The sequence below is a fragment of the Homo sapiens genome, chromosome 19 (genome assembly GCF_000001405.40).
Source record: "Homo sapiens chromosome 19, GRCh38.p14 Primary Assembly".
Taxonomy (NCBI): Eukaryota; Metazoa; Chordata; class Mammalia; order Primates; family Hominidae; genus Homo; species Homo sapiens.
In genome coordinates this window covers 29720263-29737867 of record NC_000019.10, presented here as the reverse complement: position 1 = coordinate 29737867, position 17605 = coordinate 29720263, and the positions used below count along the sequence as shown (strand labels likewise).

The window sequence follows — 17605 nt, the reverse complement described above, 5'->3', positions numbered from 1 at the left end:
GGGCACTGACCACACAGGCAAGAGGGTCCCATTCTGGGAGATGGTACCTTTCTCACTGCCCGTGGGTAGCTTGGGCCTGGGCAGCAAACCTGGGGCTTGTGGCTAGCGGCTGAGCTTGGGACCGCTCAGGCTGGTGGGAGGGCTGAGGTCTCCCCATGCTGTCGGGGGAGCCTAAGGGAGATGCTTGCCCTGGCCTCCCAAATTCCAGTAGAGAGAGCCACATGCAGAGACTGAGGGTGCCGTCGGGAAGAGGTGCCCCATACCTTATTCCAGCCTGAGTGCCTGCTGTGCTCAGGACCTGCACACCCTTACAGAAGGGTGGCTGGGGAGCTCATCAGAGGGCCTGGCATGTGGTCCTGGGAGCCGGGGGCTTAGAGGCTGACATGGATATAGTGACAGGGGCACAGTCTTTGGTATAAAGGTGGAGGACACTGAAATGTCCCAAGCCAGGAGGCTGGAAGGGAGTGCGAGGCGGATTAGCCTGGGCAGGAAAGACAGGGGCACACCCACCCCAGTTCCCTGCAGCCCTCTGAGGGGGTGTAGAGAAGCATCAGCAGCTCTCGAGGCCCCGGGGACGGGACATGGAGGCTGGGGAGGCACAGAAGCCCTGGAATGGGGTGTGTTGATGAGAGGACATGAAGGCTTTAATGCTTCGTGGGGCCAAAGGGATCCCAGCTTACCCTTCAGCGAGGGCATTAAGGTATAGAAGGGGCCAAGGTGATGCTGACACACTGGCCCCAGTAGAGACTCCCTAAGAGTTGGAAACAGGGAAATCCAACCTCCAATGACTGAAGGCAGTACTTGGCAAAACTAATTTTACTTTTTACATCAATGAGATGAGATGCAGTCACAGACATAAAATTCACAACCCAGAGCTGACAAACTCACCGTAAGATGGCAGCTATTATTATTGTCTCAAATTTCAAGCACTGACACCTTTTAAAAGGCCCCAAACTTCACTTAACACTTGTTGTTTGGAACCCTAAAATTCAAGAACTGAAGGTCGCCCAGGAACCAAATAGGAGGAGTCCGACTACAAAATTAGAAGAGACAGATCAGGGAGACTGCCGGCCCTTTACAAATTCTCCATCCTTCTCACCTATCACCCTTCAATCCCAAGACAGGTCAGCAGACTCCATGTGGGGCTCTGAGTCCAGTAAGCACAACTAAGCCAGGCAACTTCTTTTATTTTTATTTTTATTTGAGACGGAGTCTCACACTATTGTCCAGGCTGGAGTGCAGTGGCACAAACTTGGTTCACTGCAACCTCCACCTCCCAGGTTCAAGCGATTCTCCTGCCTCAGCCTCCTGAGTACTGGAATTACAGGCATGTGCCACCATGACCTGCTAATTTTTATATTATTAGTGGAGACGGGGTTTCGCCTGTCTCAACCCCCAAGTAGCAGGGACTACTGCGCCTGGCCACGGGCATTCTCTTATACAACCACAGTTCAATTATGAAAATCGGGAAATACCGATTGATGTGGTATTAATAAATAAATTTATTTATTTTGAGACAGAGTCTTGCTGTGTCATCCAGGCTGGAGTGCAATAGTGCAGTCACAGCTTACTGTAGCCTCAGCCTCCAGGGCTCAATGAATTCTCCCACCTCAGCCTCCCAGTAGCTGGGACCACAGGCGCATATCACCACACCTAGCTAATTTCTTTTTCTTTTTCTTTTTTTGTTTTCAGTTGAGATAGGGTCTCACTATTTTGCTCAGGCTAGTCTCAAACTCCTAGGCTTAAGTGATCCACCAGTCTCAGCCTCCCAAAGTGCTGGAATTATAGGCATGAGCTGCCACGCCTCGGCCTTGGGTACTTTTGAGCATACTTTGCATGCATACAGGCTGTCTCGGGATAGTTTGCACAGCACACTGGTGCACTGTTGATGACATTATGCTACCAGCATATGACACAAGCACCCCGGATGTCCTAGGAAGAAGACACGTGCAAGCCAAGGGCAGGGGCTAAAGCCCAGAAACATTCAGAGGACTGGCACATTGGCAAGGTTGTTAGGGGACCCAGTGGTCTGACACATGCCAGGACAACCCTTGTAAAGGAAGGCACAGGCAGTGGCAGCTTTCCTTCAGCTGCACTAGGGAAGAGGCACAGTGCTGGGTGCACCACCTGGGACATTAGAAGTAGCATACTTGCTGATACTTCTCCCATACGCCTATTAGACAGCTTGGGAGACTGCCACTCGGAGTGGAGTCTAGGGCAAGAAACGGCTGGCCAGGAGGTCTAGGCTGTGAGAGGATCTGCTCTTCCACTCAAGCTGCACAACCCAGAGGAGCCAAAAGTAGCAGTCTTAGAGTCTCCTATGATGAAGAAGGCTGCCATGCCAACCCTCTGCAAGCTTCAGTAGGAGAGGTGCAGGGTAAACCTTTAGCCCTTGGGAGTGCGGTGGTGCCTTCTGCTGCCGAGAACTCACCTCAGTCTGAGACTAGCTCCTGCCGTGCAGTGGGTCCTCGCAGAGACTCGGAGACTACCCACAGGACAGTGAGTGACTTTGTTCCTGGAACTGATTACAGTGAGACCCATTAAGCCATAGATTGGGAGGACACAACAGCAACACATCAGCAGTGAAAATAATGCATTTGAGCTGGGCACAGTGGCTCAGCCTGTAATCCCAGCACTTTGGGAAGCTGAAGAGGAATAATAATAACATGAAGATGCATAATATGTTAATGCAATATTTTAAAGAGTTAAAATTAATACAAAAATCCATGATGAGCAAAATATTAAAATTTCAAATAGAGACAGGATCAGTAACTGCTGTGCCGAGCCATATTGGTGTCTGAGACAAAAGGAAAAATCAGTACTACTGACCTATGGAAATGGCACTAGCGTGCCAATCATTGGACTTACGTTAAGGTCTGCCAAAAAGCCTCTCCTGCAGAGGAGGCACCTAGCAACTGGGTGGACAGGATGGTTCATCCTCTGGGCATCAGCCAGCATCAGCCACCCCACGGCAGGGGAAATAGATAGTTCCATGAATGGTGTGGCCATGGTGGCAAAAGTCAAGGGAGGCATGAGCCCAACACAAGTTCCCTCTTGCTAGAGATGACCTGGCTGCTGCCGCTACTGAATGCCCTACCTGCCAACCACATGGACTAATAATGAGCCCTCAAGATGGCACCATTTCACAAGGAGATCAGGCAGTCACAGTGCAAAGTTCATTATATGAGACCCCTTCTGTCATTGATGAGACAGCGATGAGTCCTAGCAGAGTGAACACCGACTCTGGATATGGATTTTCCTTCCTTGCAACAGTGCCTTCACTGGCATCACCAACAGAGCACTTACGGTCGTCTCTGATTTATTGGCAGGGGATTTGAACAACACTGCCTCAAGCCAAGGGGTCTGTTTTACAGCAAAGAAGCTATGGCTCCAAGGTTCCTCTGGAAGCAGCAGGCCTACAAGAACATCAGGATGACCTGTGCCAAGGCTATGCCAGGGTGAAAGCGTGAGCCCACACCCTGTATAATTGGGATACTATCCTTGAAACTGTGGTGTACGTGCCTTACCAAGAGCAGACACATGGTGCTATGATCCCAAAAGCAGAAAGACATGGGGCTGGAAACCCAGGGGGTGGCGGGGGGAGTGAGATCGGCTGCTCTCACCATCACTCGCAGAGACCACCTTGAGAAATGTGTGCTTCCTGTGTCCACAGCTTTGGGTGGGGCTCTAGCAAATTCGACGTCTTAGTTCTTGATGGGGGAGGAGGAGCGGAGAGTGGACTCCTCCACCAGGGAACATCACCAATTCTACAGAACTTGAAAATACAAATACTCCCTGGTCCTCTTGGGCTTCTCAAGTCAGTGGGCCAGAGGCAATTAGCAACAATTAGGATAACGGAGTTTCTACATGCAAAAGAATGAAGAGGTAGCCCCTACATTATACGGTATAAATGTTAACTCAGCATGGATCAATGACAAACATCAGAACTCTTACAAGAAAACATATAGGTAAATCTTCACGACCTTGGATTTGGTAATGGATTCTCAGATACGACACCAAAAACATGAGCAAAGAAAGAAAAAGAGACAAATTGGAATTCATCAAAACTAAACACTTTTGTGCATGAAAGGACATTATCAAGAAACTGAAAAAACAACCGATGCAATGGGAGAAAATATCTGCAAATCATATATCTGATAAAGTTTTAAAATCAAGAATATATAAGGAACTCCTACAACTCAATAACAAAAAGACAACTCAATTAAAAATGAGTAAAGGATTTGAACAGATACACATCCAAAGAAAATATACAAATGACCACAGGAAAGTATACTCAACATCGCTAAACACTAGGAAAATGCAGATCAAAACCAAAATGAGATACCACCCCACACCCATTAGAATGCCTGCTATATATTAATAAAAGAAAAATGAAAACACGATAAACTAAAAATAACATGTATTGATGAGAGTGTGTTGGTAAGAAATTGGAATCTTTGTGCACGGTTAGTGGGAATGTGGAATGGTGCAGCCAGCCTGGAGAACAATATGGCAGTTTCTCAAAAAATTAAACATAGAATTAACATAGAATCAGCTACTCCACTGCTAGGCATATACCCTGAAGAACTGAAAGCAGGACTCAGAGACATCCATGCTGATGTTCACTGCAGCATTATCCACAAGGGCCCAAAAGTGGAAACAAGCCAAGTTGCCATTAACAGGTGAATGAATAACAAAATGTGGCACGCCTTGTACATACAATGGAACATTATTCAGCCATAAAAGTGCATGAAGCTTTAATACATGCACCACATGGATGGACCTTGAAAACACTATACTATGTAAAATAAGTCAGTTTCAAAAGGACAAGTATCATATCATTCTACTTGTTTGAAACATCTACAAGAGACAAAGTAGCAGAGAAAGTAGGCTAGTGATTACTAGGGGCTGAGGGGAGAGGGGATGGGGAGGTGTTGCTTAATGGTTACAAGGCTTCTGTTTAAGGCAATTAAAAAGTTTTGGAAATACATAGTAGCAATGGTTGTCCAGCAATGTTCATATAACTCAGGCCACTGAATGAACATTTAAAAATGGTTAAAATGGGCTGGGCATGGTGGTTCACGCCTGTAATCCCAGCACTTTGGGAGGCCAAGGGGTGGGTGGATCACCTGAGGTCAGGAGTTTGAGACCAGCCTGACCAATATGGTGAAACCCCGTCTCTACTAAAAATACAAAAATTAGCTGGGCATGGCTGCGTGTGCCTGTAATCTCAGCTACTCCGGAGGCTGAGGCAAGAGAATCGCTTGAACCCAGAAAGTGGAAGTTGCAGTGAGCCAAGATCGCGCCCCTGCACTCCAGCATGGGCAACAAGAGTGAAACTCCGTCTTAATAATAATAATAATAATAATAATAATAATAAAATGGTTAAAGTGGCACATTTTATGTTGTGTGTATTTTACTGCAATAAAAAAAGTACTGATTAAACTGGCAGGAGAAACTAGTTCTGATTATTGCAAGGAGATAGAGTTGTTTCTCCATGAGGGATGGATGAGTATGTTTGGGACTCAGGAGAGTCACTGGGCTGTCTCTTAGTATCTTATTTATTTATTTACTTATTATTTTTGGAGACAGGGTTTTGCTCTGTTGCCCAGCTAGAGTGCAATGGTGCAATCACGGCTCACTGCAGCCTCAACCTCCTGGGCTCAAGCGATCCTCCCACCTCCGCCTCCTGAGTAGCTGGGACTACAGGCATGTGCCACCACACCTGAATAATTATTTTTCTTTAGAGATGGGGTCTTGCTCTGTTGCCCAGGCTGGTCTCAAACTCCTGGGCTGAAGTGATCTGCCTGCTTCAGCCTCCCAAAGTGCTGGGATTACAGATGTGAGCCACTGCGCCCTGCCTTCTTGGTGAATCTTGAACCTGCAATTAGATAAAATAGGCAGTCACAGCAGCCAAGGGCCAACCAAGACAAAGCTCAGGAAAGACTCAGAAACTGCAGGGGGGAAGGTGTGGTCACCTCACCTGGCACACAACTTAAACAAGCCAAAGTGCTGGCCAAGAGTGAGGGACATCTGGAGTGGTAGGTGCAGGAGGGAGACGATGAATAGCAACTGTAGTTTCATTCACAGTAGGATTTCCGCAGGCCTCCCCCTTGAAGACCTGGTGACAGGTTGGATTTGATGCAGGGCATGCCTGAGTCTCAGCGGTCCAAGAGGGAGATGATCAGACAATCACGGGCACCGCCTCGCATCCTCCTGGCCTCCGCTGATTCAGCTATGGCAGTGGTGAGCAGTTTTGTGCAAGCTTCAGCTCATTTGGGCCTCACAGCACCTTGCCTCAAGCATGCTGTTTGCTTTGGCCCCAGGGCTTCCTGAATGCTGTGGCATGGGATGGCAGAAAGAGCCCATTCAGCATGCAAACATATGTTCAGCCCGAAGGTACGGGGGTTACCGTTCCCAGGGAACTCTCAGCAAATGGGGGAGAGGCAGAAGATTCTGAAAGGTCTTCTGTCTACTCAGCAGTCCGCGTGGGACCGAGCCCTGGGTGCCTGTAGAGGGGACCAGCCTTGGTAATCCACCCTTGTGTTGGCTTGTCCTTCACTGTGTCACCTTCCCTGTTTCCTCATCCTGCTTCCTAAAATTGCCTCCAAACTCCACCTTCCCTCAGAGAAGGACTGAAGTAGGTAAGTGGAATTTAGTATCAGGTTTGTAAGGGTGAGATCGCAAAGTACTTAAGATACAAACACAAAGTGTCTATCCTACAGACCTGGGCTCAGTCCTTTTTTTTTTTTTTTTTTTTTTTAGACAGGACTGGAGTGCAGTGGCGTGATCTCGGCTCACTGCAACCTCTGCCTCCTGAGGGTTCAAGCAATTCTCCTGCCTCAGCCTCCCGAGTAGCTGGGATTACAGGCACCAGGCTAATTTCTGTATTTTTAGGAGAGACAGGGTTTCACCATGTTGGCCAGGCTGGTTTCGAACTCCTGACCACAAATTATCCACCAGACTTGGCCTCCCAAAGCACTGGGATTACAGGTGTGAGTGAGCCACTGCACTGGGCCACAGCCAGTGTTGAAATTCCACATAATCACAGACTAAGTTAAAATTTCAAATTAAACATATCTGGATAATTTCATCATAGCAGAAATGGTGAAGGGGTAAATTCTGGCAAAGTGACACGCTCAGTTTGTTAGGTTACAATCGGGAGGGCAGCGTCTTGAACGCGCTCCGGCGCCCATGGTCCCTGGATTTCCTAATCTATAGCACCCTCTAGTGTTAGCTTTGCTTCATGTCCAGAGCTCAGTGGTAAAAGCCTGAAATTCTGCCTCTGCACAAACCATGCTAAGTGGAAATTTGTGACAGAAGAGGCTCCTTTTATTGCTTTTTCTCTAAGGAGAAGTCATCAGGTGCTTAAATCTTTGGAAATAAATTTGTGCCACCTGTATGTTTAAAATAAAGTATCATGCTTTATGCTTCATTTGTTCTTCCAACAAGTAATTGTTGGGGGTCCCTGCGGTCTGCAGAAGGCCCCATGTTGGAGCAGGAGGTTTTAAATGAAAACGCTGCACATTTTCACAGATGAACAGGGAAGGAGGGTGTCACGCCAATGTCCAAACGGGGAAGTAGTTGGCCGGTGCGTGCAGGGGAGAGAGCTGCCACCGTTCCCCCTCAGTCCCACCTCAGAATTCATCATCCTACCTGGCTCGGAAACAGATTTGGGGAGCATAAGCTCTCTTTATAGTTTGCCCCACAATCAATTTCAGTGCATCTGTGCAGAGTGACATGAACTGTCCTAAATGTCTTCTAAAATAAAAAGACACCTTTGCCTCACTCGGGGCTTCGCAGCATTAAATGTACTTGGGTTAAAGGCTTCAGCGTACTCCAGTGGGGGCGCATCTTCCTACACTTTGGATAATTCATATGCATGAGAAGACATCGTCATTTTCGGTGCAGTTCTGAAAGGAAGTATTAAGGGCGAGAATTTGATTTTAAGTGAGGGAAGGGGAAAAAAAGGTGTGAATTTAGCTCCAGACTCTGCAGAGGATGAAAGAAGATGTTATATTTCTGTTTGAGACGTTGCAAATCACTCTAGAGTGCCCTCTGAACTTCTCCCTCAGCCCACCTGTCCACAGAATGGCTGGGATTCACTCCACTCTCCAGGATTTACTGTCACCTCTCCCATCCACAGTCTTTTAGGAACAGACCATCTCAGACAGCCCCTAAAGTTACCGCATGGACAACAAATTGTTCTGCAAAGTGATAGCATAGAATGCACCAAAACATCTTGAAAGAAACTTACTCAAGATGTGCTTGTTTCCTCAAGATGATATTTTATTTGTTTTAACCGGCAGTCTTGTGGGTATATATGTCTATGTTTAGCCAAAATGAAAAATGCTCCTAAAATAAAATCTCAGAAACTTTGACCAGAGTGCTTGTATGTTCTAAGGGGGAAAGAGTGTTGCATAATTCGTTACGGGGGCAGACTAAACCTTCCCTCCACTTAGAAGAGTGGGGCTGGGTGTGGTGGCTCATGCCTGTAGTCCCAGCACTTCGGGAGGCCAAGGCAGGAGGCCAGGAGTTCAAGACTAGCCTGGGCAATACAGGGAGACTCTGTCTCTAAAAATAATTTAAAAATTAGCCAGGTGTGGTGGCATGCACCTGTAGTCCCAGCTACTCAGGAGGCTGAGGTGGGATGATCACTTGATTCCAGGAATTCCAGGCTGCAGTGAGCTATGATTATACCACTGCACTCCAGCCGGGGTGACACAGTGAGACCCTGTTTCTAAAAAATAATTTAAAATAAAACTAAGTAGAAGAAAGATGGGCACTAAGCCTAAAAATTTGACCTCACTAAACATAAGGTGTTAGTTCAGAGCTCTGGACCCCAAAAGCTGTGGCCTGGAGTGGGTGAGTGTTTTATTGTCCCTGATATGGGAAAAGGAGTCCAGGAAGAGGCTGGTCCACAGATAAGAGAGTAGCAGGAGACCCTGTAAGATGCTGAGAGCCTGGCTGGGCCCAAGTAACTCTCAAGAACCAGGAGGTCTCAATATTCCCTTCCAGGCACCTGGTGAGCCACGCCGCTACATTGAACCCTCACTGGCCACTGTAGACCCAACAGTCAAAGTCTGTGGCACCAACACCTTGTGTTATAGAGACTTTGGGGAAGTCCCCGAGAAGGTCTGGAGCTCCCAGTTCATTTGGGCCAGGCACACTGAACAGAGGGAGGGCTGGAGGAGCTGAGGAGGGAGGCGAGGAGGCGAACCCTGAAGAATCAGGCTTTAGAGGCTCCTGATCAGGAGAAACGCACAGGTGGCTCTTACCACCTCTCTCAGCAACCTTTAGAGATTCCGGGCTGGTGTCTGCTAGCTTAAAAATCACTCATTTAAAATAATTAAAAATCATTTAGAAAAGGAGGGCTTTATTTCTCATATAGAGTTACAACCTGCAAGGCAGCCACCCTGACTGGCTAAGAAGTGTAGTCTCCAGTAGAAGCCAATAGGCAGGCACTTTGAGGAAGGGTGGGAGGGGATAAGACAGGAATTCAAGCTGAATGGGTTGGCCAGGTATACATATTCAACGGGATATAGGAAGAGCTATGAATATTCTTGGAAGGAGGCCATACACATGTGTGATAAGCAAACATGCATGTTACACACATCCCATGTTCACCTTGGAGTGGAGAATACACATTTAAGTGTATTACAATCGGGCTGTAGACGTCAAAAGGTGAATCAGGGACATGAAGGCATTGCACAGCCTCTGTAAATGGGCAGAACCAGGCCATGGTCAGTGGTCTCTTATCAGGAGAAAGTTACTGAATCAGCCTCTTGTCCAATCAAAGCTGCAGTTCTGGCTGGTGGAACGAGGGTCAGTTAGTGTCTGGCAGCGGGCGAACTGCAATTGTTTTAATATTACCTATCTCCAAGCCATTGGCTTGTTTAGCTGCTAGAGAAAAAGAAACCCCTTGCGGCAGCTGGAAACTAGTTTATTCTTTAAGTGTAGGGGTGTGTGACTTAACCCTTCCCTGATATGGCCCTTAGGTCCTGGTTATGATTTGGTATCTTACTGTCACAGAGTCCATTCTGCCAGTCTTATGACCTCTATTTTATTTTTATTTTTTAGAGACAGGGTCTCAGTCCATCACCCAGGCTGGAGTACAGTGGCGTGATCTCGGCTCACTGCAACCTCCACCTCCCAGGTTCAAGCAATTCTCCTGCCTTAGCCCCCTGAGTAGCTGGGATTACAGGCACCCACACACCCGGCTAATTTTTGTATTTTTAGTAGAGAAGTGGTTTCACCATGTTGGCCAGGCTGGTCTCGAACTCCTGACCACAGTTGATCCTCCCACCTCAGCCTCCCAAAGTGCTGGGACTACAGGCGTGAGCCACTGCGACCACCATGACCTCTATTTTAACATGAATGCTGCTCATTTGTGTTTAAGCCACAAAAGGGAGTGGGTAGAGCGGGGTGTGTCTGACCTCCCTTCCCATCATGGCTGGGAACTCTGTGGTTAAGTTTCCTCTGGGGTCCCCTTGGCCAAGAGGGGGTCTGTTCAGTTGGTTGGGGGGCGCTGAGGATTTCATCTGTAGTTCTCATGTTTCACTGTAAGTAGACTGAGGGCTTAAATCACTTTTATTTGTTAATGTTAAGGGGGACGTCCATTAAACCTGAAAGACTTGGGGACACCAACAAGGCTGATAGCCATTAGATAATTATTATTAATGACAGTCATTAGTGATACCAATTATGTACCAATCATTCCGGGCATGAGAGCTACAGGGATAAATAAGACATAACAGCCTCCTCCCTTGTGGAGCCTGCCTTCTGGGAAGGGGGAGTGTTGGTATTCCATGAAAGTGTGACAATATCAAAACAGGCACAGTGGCTCACGCCTGTAATCCCAGCACTTTGGGAGGCAGAGGCGAGTGGATCACTTGAGGTCAGGAGTTTGAGACCAGCCTGACCAACATGGTGAAATCCTGTCTCTCCTAAAAATACGAAAAATTAGTCTGGCATGGTGGCGGGTGCCTGCAATCCCAGCTACTTGGGAGGCTGAGGCAGGACAATTGCTTGAACCCGGGAGGCAGAGGTTGCAGTGAGCTGAGATCGCAGCCATCGCACTCCAGCCTGGGCGACAGAGTGAGACTCCTTCTCAAAAAAAAAAAAAAAAAAATCTTATTTTTTGTCTGTTGTTCTACTAACAGGTTTGGCTTGCAGGAAATCTGCAATGCCTGGGACATTTCAGATTTGCAATTTAGGGAGGACCAGGGTGTACAGACCTCCAACCTTGGCACTCAGAGCTTAGTCTCCTCCCTGACTTTCCCTCTTTTTTTTTAAATTGCTTTGTCATCCAGGCTGGAGTGCAATGGCACGATCATACCTCATCACAGCCTTGAGCTCCTGGACTCAAGCGATCCTCCTGCCCCAGCCTCCTGTGTAGCTGGGACTACAGATGTGCGCCACCATATCCAGCTAATTTTTTATTTTTGTAGTGACGGCTCTCTATGTTGCCCAGTCTGGTCTTGAACTCCTGGCCTCAAGCGATCCTCCCACCCCAGCTTCTCAAAGTGGTGGGATTACAGGCGTGAGCCACCAAACCTGGCCTGTACTTCCCATTTGGCAGCACTGTCTCGATAGTATTGTAGCTCTGGTTGCTGTGTTCATGCATACACTTACGTTTTCTTTCTCTGAAAAGTCAGGGATGCCAGAAGGGGACCTTATCTCTCTTGGCTACTGTTCTATTCCCCAGTCTGAAGGGGGAGCTGGCACTGGGAAGGCCCTGAGTCCATGTTTGTTGTCTGGGAATACCATTAAAGGTAACTGACCACTTTTGTTTGCATTGACTAGAAAGACAAGAAATGATGGCTTTAGCTGTATAATACTCTCCTCCTCCAGGCACTTGCAACAGCCCTACCAAATCATATTAATGATAATCACTCATGGTAACCAGTCTCTGAGTTGGACCCAGTGATCCATGCCTACCAGCCTTCATGCCTCTGTGCAGTCCCAGCCACATGGACGAATGTGTAGGGGTGTTGCAGTGATGGTGTGCAACCTTTAAGCCAGATCATGAAGACGCTGTGGCTTCTGCTTGGTTGTTTGGATCCTTCCCTCTGGAGGATGCCAGCTTCCTCATCAAGAGGACATTGGAACAGCCTGTGGAGAGCCCCACATGCTGAGGCACTCAGGCCTCATGGCCAACAGCCCAGCCACATGAGAAAGTGGTCCTCTGGGAAGCACATCACCAGGCCCAAGCACCCCTTCAGATGACTACAGCCTCAAGAGAGGGCCCAATCTAGAACCGCTCAGCTACAGCACTCTCAAATTCCTGACCCTTGGGAGCTGTGAGAGAGGACATTGGTCTTAAGCCACTAAGTTTTGCATTTGATATGCAGCAATAAATAACAACTACAGTGATACTGATGTTGTTCCTTAATAATACCAATTAGTGATGATTTCTTAGTCTTTTTTTTTTTTTTTAAAGAAATGGGGTCTTGCTATGTCTCCTAGGCTGGAGGGCAGTGATGCAATCATAGCTCACTGCAGCCTCAAACTCCTGGGTTCGAGTGATCCTCCTGCCTCAGCCTCCCAAGTAGCTGAGACTACAGGCACAGGCTACCACACCCGGCTAATTTTTAAATCTGTTGTAGAGACGAGGTCTCACTATGTTACCCAGGTTGGTCTTGAACTCCTAGGCCTTCCAAAGTGCTGGGATTACAGGTGTGAGCCACGATGCCAGGCCCCACATTATCTTTTTTAAAAGATGCAATATAAAACCTTAGCAAACAGTGTGCTCGCTTTGCAAATGCAGCTTTAAGAGAAGCCCCTTACCTTCCAATTGCATCGTTGCCCCCGAGTCCCTCCTACGCGGAAATCTGGTGCTTTCACTGTAAGAAAAGCAGGCATAAGAAAGTGAGAGGGTTGAAGTTCTATTTATTGCCACAGTCAAAGGGGGCAGCCAGAATAAACGCAGGGTTTCCGGGGAGTTAGCTGTGGAGCGCAGCAGAAAGGCCGCTGGGGTCTGGCTGGGAGGACAGATTTCCTTGGCGCGCTGTGCAGCCTTCCCAGAGGATGGGAGCCGGGGGGGATGGGGGGCGAATTATTTCAATAATAAAGGAAAGGAAGATTTTTATTTTAGGTCAATAAAACAAAAAACTCGACCATAATTCGTTAATTTTATTGAAATGGCATGCAAATTACTTGATGAAACTTAGCAGAAAAGCGGCTCGGTGCAAACAACGAGCATTGTTTGGGAGCGCGTTTCCCGTTGGTCTCAAATCCACATACAATATTTCCTTAGTGCTTAATTATTTCCCCACTGCTCGCGTCTGCAGGGCTGAGCCCTTTGTCTGGCTCGCTTTGCACGCGGCGGGCAGCAAGTGCGGCGCCCTCCCCCGCGCCCGGCACAGATGGGGCCCCGGGGCCTTTGTTTTAGGGGTGGAGCGACAAGATCTGTAAAGCGGGCGCTCCAGGCTCGGTGCACGTGCTGCGGGCGCGGGGGTCCCCAGGCCACCGTCCCCTTCCTTCCTCCGCCCCATTGTCTGCCGGCGTATGGGAAGCCGCTGCGCTCCTGCCGTGCGAGCGCTGTAATCTTTGAGGTTTCTGCAGATTTGTGGAGGAGCTTACTTGACAGCAATCTCTTGGCGTGCTCAGATCACTCTGCAAGCCTCTGGCACACGCAGGGCCGCCGCTAAAGCAAGGGCCTCTGGTACCCCGGGCCTGCCCCGCGCAGCTCCCCCTGGCAGCTCCTCCAGCAAAGCACCTCAGCACCGAAAAATAAAATCCTACGGCGGGGATTTAGACCAGAGAGGAGTGAGGGTTTGGGGCCTGGCGCCTGCTTGAGCCTCGGGTAGGGGAGGGTCTTCCTTGGCTACTGGGTATGCTGTGGGCCCACGCTGCACCCCTAAATTCCTGACCCACAGGACCTGCCAAAGGTAATCCATCGCCCCAAAGTCACCCTATTCGGGTGGGATCTCTGCTTTCATAACAGAGAAGGGTCCCAGCAAGGGGACTGAGGAATGAATGTGTGCAAAACACTGGTTTCATTCTGAAGTCAGAAGTGTGGTTCCCCCATGCAGCTGGAATTTTGCAGGGACGGCCCGGCTATAAGATGGGTAATGCATGTAGAGTAGGAGGGAGGGCAGACCCCAGAGACCCCACCCCACTGCAGGTGAAACGCAAAAGAATGCCTTGCAGATTCCAAGGTGCCCACTCTTCCCGGCGCTCCAAACTATCAGGATGTTTTCCGTGCTGGAGGAGTCCCTGACATTTCCTCCTCTCTGATTTTCGCCATATTTACAACGTGTGTGTGTGTTTACCTTCCTGGACTTCCCTGCCTTCCAAAGGCGCTCTGCACCCAGTGCAAATGCCCTCACCCTCAGGGCCCTCTCAGGTCTCCCCATCTCTGCCAGCCGTGTGTTAAGCGAAGAACAGAGGCTTGAAGGCCAAGAGCCCTAGATTTCTGTTCTGATTGTGTTACTGACAGTGTGATCAAGGGCAGGTCCCTTCCTCTCTCTATTTTCGGGGTAGCCTAAGAAATCGTCTGAGAACTGGAGGGGCTCTGTCTAATCGAAGACTGTGACTGCGGAGCCTCGGTTCTTTGCAGGGCCCAGAACCCGCCCCTCCATCAGCAGTTCCAGACTCTGAGCCTGGGAGCGTGCATTACCAGGAACATGGAGACACGGTGGCTACACGTGAAGGTGGGTTCTGATGATGCTAGATTGCTGTGGGCAGATATTCTGGGACTTCTCAGAGCCCTGAAATCCTTCCTTTGTGGAAAAGTCAACTGGGCCGAAAGTTGGACCTGATGTCCAAGATTTGAGGGTCACCCTTCCCCACGGGTGGGGTCTCTTGGAGGGGAAGACCTTCACTGTTGGAGTCAGCAAGCCCATTCCTGAATCCCAGCTCTGCCTCTAGCAGCTGCGGGTGTCTGCAGCCTCTAATTTAACCAAGAAAATCTCCAGCCCCCTGCTTTTCAAGGTGGAGCTACCACCTGAAATAGGATGTGACCTAGCCTGAATGTGCCTAGAAGTTTCAGCTCCTCTGTTTTCATGATCACTAGTATTAGTGTTTCATGATCACTAGTATTTACCTTCTCAAAATATAGTTTGTCAGCCGTGTGCCGTGACTCATGCCTGTAATTCCAGCACTTTGGGAGGCCAAGGTGGGTGGGTCACTTGAGGGCAAATCGCTTGATGTCAGGCGTTCAAGACCGGCCTGGACAACATGGCGAAACCCCGTCCCTACTAAAAATACAAAAATTTGCCAGAAATTGCTTGAGCTTGGGAGGCAGAGGTTGCAGTGAGCCAAGATTGTGTCACTGCACTCCAGCCTGGGTGACAGAGCGAGGCTTCGTCTAAAAAAATAAAAAATAAAAAGTTAGCCAGGCATGGTGGTACACACCTGTAGTCCCAACTACTAGGGAGGCTGAGGTAAGAGAATTTCTTGAACCTGGGAGGCAGAGGTTGCAGTGAGCCGAGACTGCACCACTGCACTCCAGCCTGGGAGACAAAGTGAGACTCCATCTCAAAAAAAATTAATACCAGGGTTATGGAGACTTCTCCAGCAATAATGAAAGAAATTTTGCAGATATATAGAGACAATCTAGGTGACATTCTTTTTAAAATTGTGTGCACCACAGGCTAACAAACAAGCAAATACCATGGGTGACTTCATTTATGTACACTGGAGCGAAAGAGAACATTCTGCTATAGAACAAAACCTCAAACAGACCAAAGCTCCAATAGAAGAAAAGACAAACCACCCCCACCCCAAATTCAAAGCTGCCTTAAAGTAAAACTAGTGGGAGAAAGAATTTGCATCCTCTGAGCAATTTGAAATAAAAACTTCAGAATCATAATAGTGACTCTACCATAATTTTCTGTAATAAAACATCTATTATAACAGATATGGCAATACAATAAAAGTCCTATTGTTCCAGAAACTGTATTATAACTGAAACAGGATAATTATAGAAATACTTGCGTGAGAATTGCATGTTCAACAGAACCATTGAAAAATCATTCTTCTCAGACTGAAAATAAGTCTTCCAGGCACAGAAGAACTCTTCAGTGAGATCTGAAATGCAAGACAAGGTGGATTTTTTTTAAGTCTTTTATAGCAGCTTGACCTTCTAAAGTCTCGTCAGGGCCATCTGTAAACTCCAAGGCCCCATCAGCCTCCAGCTCTGAGTTCCACACTTTATTTGGAATACTAACATCTATGAGTAGATTTTTAAGTAGGGCATCTCTTTATATTCTTTCAATAGACAGATTTTCGGGTGAATCTTGGCTCTATCGAGTTCATTTGTAAATTCTAACTTAGAATTTTTAGCTTTTTAGAACAGTTGACCTCTGGAACATTTTGTAGAAATCCCATCCTATGTGGAAGGCATTGCTGATAGTACCACCCTCCCTGTTTTATAGTTTACAAAGCACCTTTCAGTTTTTATTCCTCTTTGAATCCTCACAATAATCCCAGGTTGTTGAGAGCAGGGATTCTCATCCTGATTTTGTATTTGAGAAAATTGAGGATTATCTGTTTGGGAGCAGGGGCTGGGGGATTTGTCTGGAAGCTGTGTTTGCAGTGTAAGCATGCTGTTTTTACTTAGTTTGTCTTTTTTTTTTTTTTTTTGCTGTGGCTTTGGGGAAACTGATGAGAATTAGTGAGGAACCAGAGGGCCTGCAAGCCCTCTGTGACAAGTAGGGCTTGTCATCACTACTGACTTTTAATGTCCCATCTTGGGTAACCTGGTACTTGAAAGGTTGGGAACCTGGAGGAAATTCACTGAGTGATGATGGTGGCTGAGGGACTGAGGGAGGGAGCTGGGAGGAAATAATAATAATAATGACAATGATGATAACACACACTCAACATGACAGCAAATATGCAGAGTGGTGCTAAGTGGTGACTAAAGGGACATGATAACCATCTACAAATATTTGAAGGATGTAAACACCAAGGAAGAAGATGAATTAATTATTTAAAAGAACAGTGATGAAGCCTGGGAAGAGATCATTACCAGTCCCCAAGCCACCTTGTCCTTCCACAACCCTTTCAGGATTAAGCTCTCCCAAGACCGAAGGGAGGTGGCAGGATGGTTTCCCTGCACACAACAGTCTTGACATAGGCATGGCCCGAGGCTGTTAATATTTTTTTGAGACAGGATCTCACTCTGTTGCCCGGCGAAGTGTAGCAGTACGATCACAGCTCACTGCAATGCAGCCTCAGTCTCCTGGGCTCAAGCGATCCTTCCACCTCAGCCTCTTGAGTAGCTGGGTCTACAGACACATGCCACCATGCCCGACTAATTTTTAAATTTTTTGTAAAGATGAGGTATTGCTATGTTGCCCAGGCTGGTCTTGAACTCCTGGTCTGAAGTAATTCTCCCACCGTGACCTCCCAAAGTGCTGGAATTACACTAGTGAGCCACCGCGCTTAACCCGAGGCTGTTATTTTTATTTTTTTGAGACGAGGTCTCGCTCTGTCGCACAGGCTGGTGTGCGGAGTGCAGTGGGGCCATCTCAGCACACTGCAACCTCCGCCTCCCAGATTTAAGCGATTCTCCTGCCTCAGCCTCCCGAGTAGCTGAGACTACAGGCGCGCTACAGCACGCCCAGCTAATTTTTGTATTTTTAGAAGAGACGGA

The 17605-nt window shown here is 47.8% G+C and overlaps 1 long non-coding RNA gene across 1 annotated transcript, besides 3 other annotated features; it reads right to left on the bottom strand.

Annotated features, from left to right (window-relative positions):
- Positions 1-1486: 1486 nt before the first annotated feature.
- Positions 1487-13735, bottom strand: LOC107985345 (uncharacterized). The gene is made up of 3 exons (XR_001753891.3): positions 13585-13735; positions 12790-12845; positions 1487-2521 (listed from the first exon to the last, which is right to left on the bottom strand). It is a non-coding gene; the product is annotated as an uncharacterized LOC107985345 (long non-coding RNA).
- Positions 6957-7006: an enhancer, noted in NCBI's record as "active region_14420". NCBI's record gives its function as "activates an Ori minimal core promoter by ATAC-STARR-seq in GM12878 lymphoblastoid cells {active_cell/tissue: GM12878}" and the evidence as "EXISTENCE:reporter gene assay evidence [ECO:0000049][PMID:35858748]".
- Positions 7127-7176: an enhancer, noted in NCBI's record as "active region_14419". NCBI's record gives its function as "activates an Ori minimal core promoter by ATAC-STARR-seq in GM12878 lymphoblastoid cells {active_cell/tissue: GM12878}" and the evidence as "EXISTENCE:reporter gene assay evidence [ECO:0000049][PMID:35858748]".
- Positions 9137-9331: a silencer, noted in NCBI's record as "fragment chr19:30219444-30219638 (GRCh37/hg19 assembly coordinates)". NCBI's record gives its function as "represses an EF-1alpha promoter that drives an FKBP-Casp9 reporter gene in an ReSE screen in K562 erythroleukemia cells {active_cell/tissue: K562}" and the evidence as "EXISTENCE:reporter gene assay evidence [ECO:0000049][PMID:32094911]".